Source organism: Homo sapiens, chromosome 12, assembly GCF_000001405.40.
Source record: "Homo sapiens chromosome 12, GRCh38.p14 Primary Assembly".
Taxonomy (NCBI): domain Eukaryota; kingdom Metazoa; phylum Chordata; class Mammalia; order Primates; family Hominidae; genus Homo; species Homo sapiens.
Genome location: NC_000012.12, coordinates 43,058,980 through 43,065,458, shown reverse-complemented (window position 1 = coordinate 43,065,458; position 6,479 = coordinate 43,058,980). Strand labels below are relative to the sequence as shown.

Sequence of the window (6,479 nt, the reverse complement as noted above, 5' to 3'; positions counted from 1 at the left end):
AGTACAAATAGGGACAAAATGCACAATGAAAACCTTTTACATAACTTTTGCAAAGTTGATCTTAAAAGCTAAATTACATCAGGCTGCAGGTAACAGATATCTCAGTGTTGTTACATTTGCTTTAAGCAGCAATGCATCTGGAGCCATGTAACAAGAGATCATTCTTAAACAAAACTGGAGACAATAGAGCCTTTTTAGGCAAATTAAATTGGTATTTTTTTCTATAAATATTTCAGATATTTAGACTTTGGTCTTTTATCTGTTCACAAAGCCAGTATAGCAAGAGAAACAAAATAAAATATAAGACTTTAAGCCTGGATCCCATCACTCAGGACATGAAGATAATAATGTTTATTTCTCTGAAATAAATTTTTTATTTCCCTGAGTTAAAAGGAAAATAATGGTATTTTCATTTGAAATGTATCCAAAGACAATGAACTTATTTTAAGATTCATTATTTAAGTCAATAAACATTACCCTGTGACAGGCACTGTGCCACCCAGTGGGCCACAAATATGGTAAAGTGCCATGTCCACCTTCATTCAAGACCACAGCAGACAGCAAATATTTGTCATGGGTGCCACCCAGGCCTATGGCCCAGGGCAAAGGGGGCACAGGGGAAGGTAATTTGATTCCTTCTGTGAAGAGGCTTTCTGTGGAAGATGACCTGGTACCGGCCTTTGAAGGATGGTGAGAGTTTTTCTTCAAGTATAGAAGAGAGAAGAAAAGCAGTCAATACTGAAAACAGGATAACTAAGGTCATGTGAAGAACAGTTTTTAAAATCACCTAATTTTTCTTGACTAGAGAGGAATGCAAAAGATAAAAAAAGTATATTTCCTTTTATTTTATAGACGTGGCTGACTTGTCCTTTAATAGAAACAGAGTAGTTCATTTGTTCAGTTATATATACTTCATAATAGGCATTGGATCTAACTTATTAACTTTATTAAAAAATTCATATTCTTTGATTAAAAACCTCCAGGGAAAAATATTAATGGAAGAAGTTATAATATACTTATGCTGAAAGAAAAAATTTACTGGTTATATAATTTTAAAAAATGTTTATATATACATGGCAATTCGTATTCCACCTGCAGGGTGGCAGAAAATTGTGTTTAGAATTACTTTTAAAATTTAATTCCAGCAGATTAATTTTCATATGGACAATTGATTTGTTTTCCTTTTTAAATGTCAATGCTGTTGTTATATAAGACAATAAATGTTAGTTGACAATGTAAGTAATTGTACTACAAAATAGCATCTGCTACAAGGCATTCAAAGCCACCTGCAACAAATCTTCTATATCTAAATTGTAAATACATGCCTTTTATTATGCAAGCCTTTCCTTATATAATATGGAAACCAATGGCCTTTTAATTTGATGTCTTGAAATGGACAAAATGAAAGACACATGTGAACTTAGCAGCCATTAACAAATTCACTGAACACTTCAGACATGTACATGTGATTAAAAAATGTTTACCTTTTGGAGAAAATATAGAAGAAATGTTACTGCCCAAGTCATGCTCTATTTTTCACTGTGCCTATTGCACGTGGACAGTCTAACGTCAGACGTTCCTCTGAGTCAGGCCAAACTGTGCAAGGGCAAACACCACCACATTCCTAGTCAGTGTTCCATGCTTTAATTCCACAGAGAGATCCTATTTCATGTGTTTTTCATTTTAAGTTCTGCCTTCTTGAATGCTATTTCCTTTCTTTTGGTTTTCACCAAGATCAAAGAAATCTCCAGCAAATAAAAAATGCAAATGTCCAGTGGTGTACTGGAAACCTGCCCATCCAGTGTACAAACAACCCTAGACTTAAAGTTAATGAGATCACTCAGGACACTACCAAGTTGACATCAAAATTCTAATGGTCAAGAACAAGCACATATTTATTAAAGACATTAACTATGATGACTTGAGCCAATGTCTCCTTTTTCGTGCTGTCTCCTGGGGGGTATCTATAGGGGTGATCACCACAGGCATGATCAATCAGTAAACAACATCCAGGTAAAAGGGTCTCTAATTCTCCTCCCTACACATCCTGTCATTCCCTGACTATAGAGGATCTCAACATACTAACACTCGCTGAGAGTGTCAAAATAGAACCTCCAAGATTCTCATGCTGAAAATGCCAGATAAAACCTATACAGAACTGTAGTGTGAGCACAAACCCAAAAAGCAATTCCATCCTTCTACATATGGCACCCTCATAAGTAATCTTTTCCTCTTCTCATTTCTCATAAAGCCTTGTAGCATTTGATGGTTAGAGACTGAATATCAGATGTGAATGAATATTGCTTTGCAGAAGCCTTCAGCAAAGTTTGTCAAAATATGCTTTAGGAAAACAAAGCAACCAGTTACCAATTACCAGATGAAGAAATGATTAGGATTCAATTTTCAAAAGAGCTACTCAATTATGCACACTCTTCACTGCCTCGTTATGCACACATGTATGTTGAACAATTAGAATTTTATCAGTAAATTAAAGCTGGACTTACTATGGTAATTATAATACATTAAAGAGCCTCTCTCACCATGAATTTTATAAGTAGGTTTCAAAGATATTCAGAAAAGTGGTTCTTGCATTCTTAAAAGCAAACAATTTATTAAATTTCATTGTAGCAACCTTCAATTTATATAATGAGTCTTCATTTTGGTGTTTTCTTATGTTAAATATCAGCCAAATGCTCCTATGACTAAATTACTTGCTGTATAGCATTTTCCTACATAAAATGTGGAGAAACAGCCTCCTGGAAGTCATTAAAAATGCATTTCTAAGTATATGTTTTTATATAGATGTTCCAGAAAACAATTCAATGTGAAAAATATTGGACTCATTTGCCTTGTTAAAACCAATTGTGTGCTAATAACATGAATGTTTAAAAAATCCATATTCCACTTCTGTTATCTCTTAATGTTTCTCAATTTTCTAAAATTAATGTATTCATTCAAGAAATATTTTTGAGCACTTATGTCACTGGCACTGTGCAAAGCACAGAAGACATTAATGTGAGTAAGAGATTATAGTCCCTGTGGGGTGGTGAGGGGCAGGATACAATGACAATGATTTAAGATGTGTTTAGTCAGTATATCACTGGGACTTGGTGATTGTTTGAATAGAGACGGAGAAAGAGAAGTCAAAGAAGACTTCTAGGTTTTTAGAGTTGATGAGAAGGCATCTGCTGGTGTAAATCTCAAAGCTAGGAAAATGAAACAAAGAACAGATACAAAGGAAAAGAGCTAAGATGAAAAGTTGAAGAGTTTGAGGTGCCAGCAAGATATCTAGACATCCACATCTAACAGGCAATTGATATCAGGAGAGTCACCAGGCTAGAGAAACACTTCAGTAAATGAAAGAGACTGCATAGGATGTGTGCATTGAGTGGAAAGAGGGGGTAGAAGGGGTGGGGCCAAACTCTGAGGAACACTAACATTTAAGAGAAAGATGGAGTCAGAGGAATCTGAAAAAGAAACTGATAACAAGTGGCCAGAAAGAAAGAGTAAGAAGAAATTCCAGCCGTGTATGGTGTCAGGATCTCCATGGGTACAGCATGTACTGAGAAAGAGTAATTAAGAGCCAAGGAAGTCAAGGACTGAGAAATATCCACTGGGTTTACCATTAAGGAACTAAGTCTCACTTTAGGAGGACAGTTTCAGAGGGATGGGAAATGAAAGGGAAATAAAGGAGACAGTGACCACAGACACTTCTTCCAACATGGACAATAAGAGATGGCAGAGAATGGAGGGGGTCTGGAGTTTTCATTTTAAAGCCCTAGAGGAAGGATTTTAGTTGTATAAGAAGGGTGAGACTGCGACTATTTAGCCACTATTGAAAGGGAGCCTGTGGAAGGGAGGAGATTAGAAATAAGAGCATGAGAGGGTACATTATCAATGACCTCACATTTAAAAAGTAAGAAATACTTCCACCAATAATGTAAATGGAATTTGGTTATAGATAAATAAGAAGTTTTTCTCAAATCTAGTATTACAGTATCTCTGTATAGCAATCACTTCCTGATCAATCATTTACTTACATATATATATATGTATTTTATATATATATATATAAAAAATACTTCCTCCCACAAAGGTCTTGAGGTAGCTAACAACAAAATAATAACAAAAATCAAAAGTATATTACAAAATTGCAAAGTAAATATGGAAACTGGGGCTAAGAAGGATAGAAAAATAATAAAACCAAGTATAATAAATATATAAAAAACCTTGTATATTTGCTAGTACTGAGTTAAAATCTGGCTCTGAGCCACCTAGCAACCAAAGCAAAGAGAGAAATGCTAAATGGTACAAGGTTTTGTGTCCATAAAATGAAGACAAATGAATGGTCTAGAGGAGACATAGCTTCTTCTTAAATCAAGACCAGAGAGGAATTTTTTCACTGTCCTTTCAAAGATGACACAGTGAGGGAAAAAAATGCCTTCCTTACAATATGTCAGCAACTGATAAAGCAACAAATTTCAAACACCTGTTTCTAAAAATGTGCCCCAATACGTCCTAAAAGGAAATGATACCAGATGGCAATTAACTTGAGTTCCAAGAATGCAGAACTCTAACATCTGGTTTGATAAAGGGACTAATTTAGAATATCTTCGAGGAATGGAAAAGCTGCATGCCCTGGCAGTATTCCTTCATAAATATTATTAAATAGCATTTTTCTCAACTAGCATGATAATAAGGTTTATACAGCAGAGAATTAAAGGTTGGATTTTATGGCAAGAACCTTGGTAGCCAATCAGTGTTGAGAGGTAGCAAAAAATGTCCTAAGTGGTGGGCACAACATAGAGATAAAAAAATCCAGGAGTTGAGAGTAGTTGAATGTCTTTCTTTCTTTTCCTTGCCTACTTGCTCTGGCTAGGACTTTCAGTACTATGTTGAATAGAAGTGGGGAGAGGCATGCTTACCTTGTTCCTAATCTTTCCATTTTTCACCATTGAGTATGATGTTAGCTGTGGACTTTTCATATATAGCTTTTATTATGTTGAGATAAATTTCTTCTATACCTAGTTTGTTGAGTTTCTGTCATAAAAGAATGTTGAATTCTGTCAAATGCTCTTCATCATTTATTGAGATGATTGGGTGATTTTCATCCCTTATTCTATCAATTTGATGTACCATATTTGTTTATTTGCATATGTCGAACCATCTTTAGATCCCAAATATAAATCCCACTGGATCATGGTGTGTGACCCTTTCAACGAGCTGTTGAATTCAGGTTGCTAGCATTTTATTAAGGAGTTTTAAAATCTATGTTCATCAATGATATTGGCCTGTAATTATCTCTTCTTTTAGTTTCTTCGTACAGCTTTGGTATGGGTAATATTGGCTTTGTAAAATGAGTTTAGAAGTGTTCCCTCTTCTTCAAATTTTTGGAAGATTTGAAAGAAATTATATTAATTCTTCTTTAAATGTTTGGTATAATTGACTAGTGAATTCATTTGGTCCTGGCCTATTTTGTGTTGAGAAGTTTTTTAATAGTTATTCAATCCCCTTCTTTATTAGTCTGTTCAGAGTTTCTATTATTTCATGATTCAGTTTTGGTATGTTGTATGTTTCTAAGAATTTATTCATTTACTCTATGTTATCCAATTTATTGGTGTATAATTTTTCATACTGGACTCTTATGATCTTTTTTATTTCTGTGGCATCAGTTGTAATGTCTCTTTTTTTCATTTATAATTTTATTTGAGTCTTCTCTTTTTTACTTATTAGTCTAGCTAAGAATTTGCAATTTTGTTTGTCCTTTAAAAAATCCAATTCTTAGTTTCTTTATTTTTTGATTGACTTTAAACAATCTAATTTTCTAGCTATATGAAAATTGTTATATTAGTTATAGTACATACAAATGATTCAATTAAGTGATTGGAGAATTAAGAATCATGGTTTTGTGTTTTTACAAAACATACACCCTAATCTTTTATTATTAGCTTCAACAGAAATAACATTACTCTCATTACTATAAGAGTATCTGAATACTTACTCTCAATTTCTGTGCTGATCTAAGACAGTGTCTTGCTCTGTCGCCCAGGCTGGAGTGCAGTGGCGTGATCTCAGCTCACTGCAACCTCCACCTCCCACCTCAGCCTCTCTAGTAACTGGGACCACAGGCACCTGCTACCATGCCCAGGTAATTTTTTACTTTTTCTTTCGTGGGTTTTTTTAAAATATAGAAATGTGGTCTCCCTATGTTGCCCAGGCCAGTCTCGAACTCCTGGACTCAAGCAATCCACCTACCTTGGCCTCCCAAAGTACCGGGATTACAGGCTTGAGCCACCGCACCCAGCTTCATTGATTTTTTTCTGCTGTCATTCTTTTCTCAATTTCATTATTTTCTGCTCCAACATGTATTATTTTCTTCCTTCTGCTTACTTTGGGCTTAGTTTGTTCTTTTATTTATATTAATGGCAAAAAAAAAAAAAACGCAACGACTTTTGCACCAACCTAATAGTTGCTTGAAG

General features: G+C 34.7%; 1 annotated feature.

Moving 5' to 3' along the window:
* Positions 4,426-4,626: a silencer, noted in NCBI's record as "peak1696 fragment used in MPRA reporter construct". NCBI's record gives its function as "represses an SCP1 promoter by STARR-seq MPRAs in K562 erythroleukemia cells {active_cell/tissue: K562}" and the evidence as "EXISTENCE:reporter gene assay evidence [ECO:0000049][PMID:32103011]".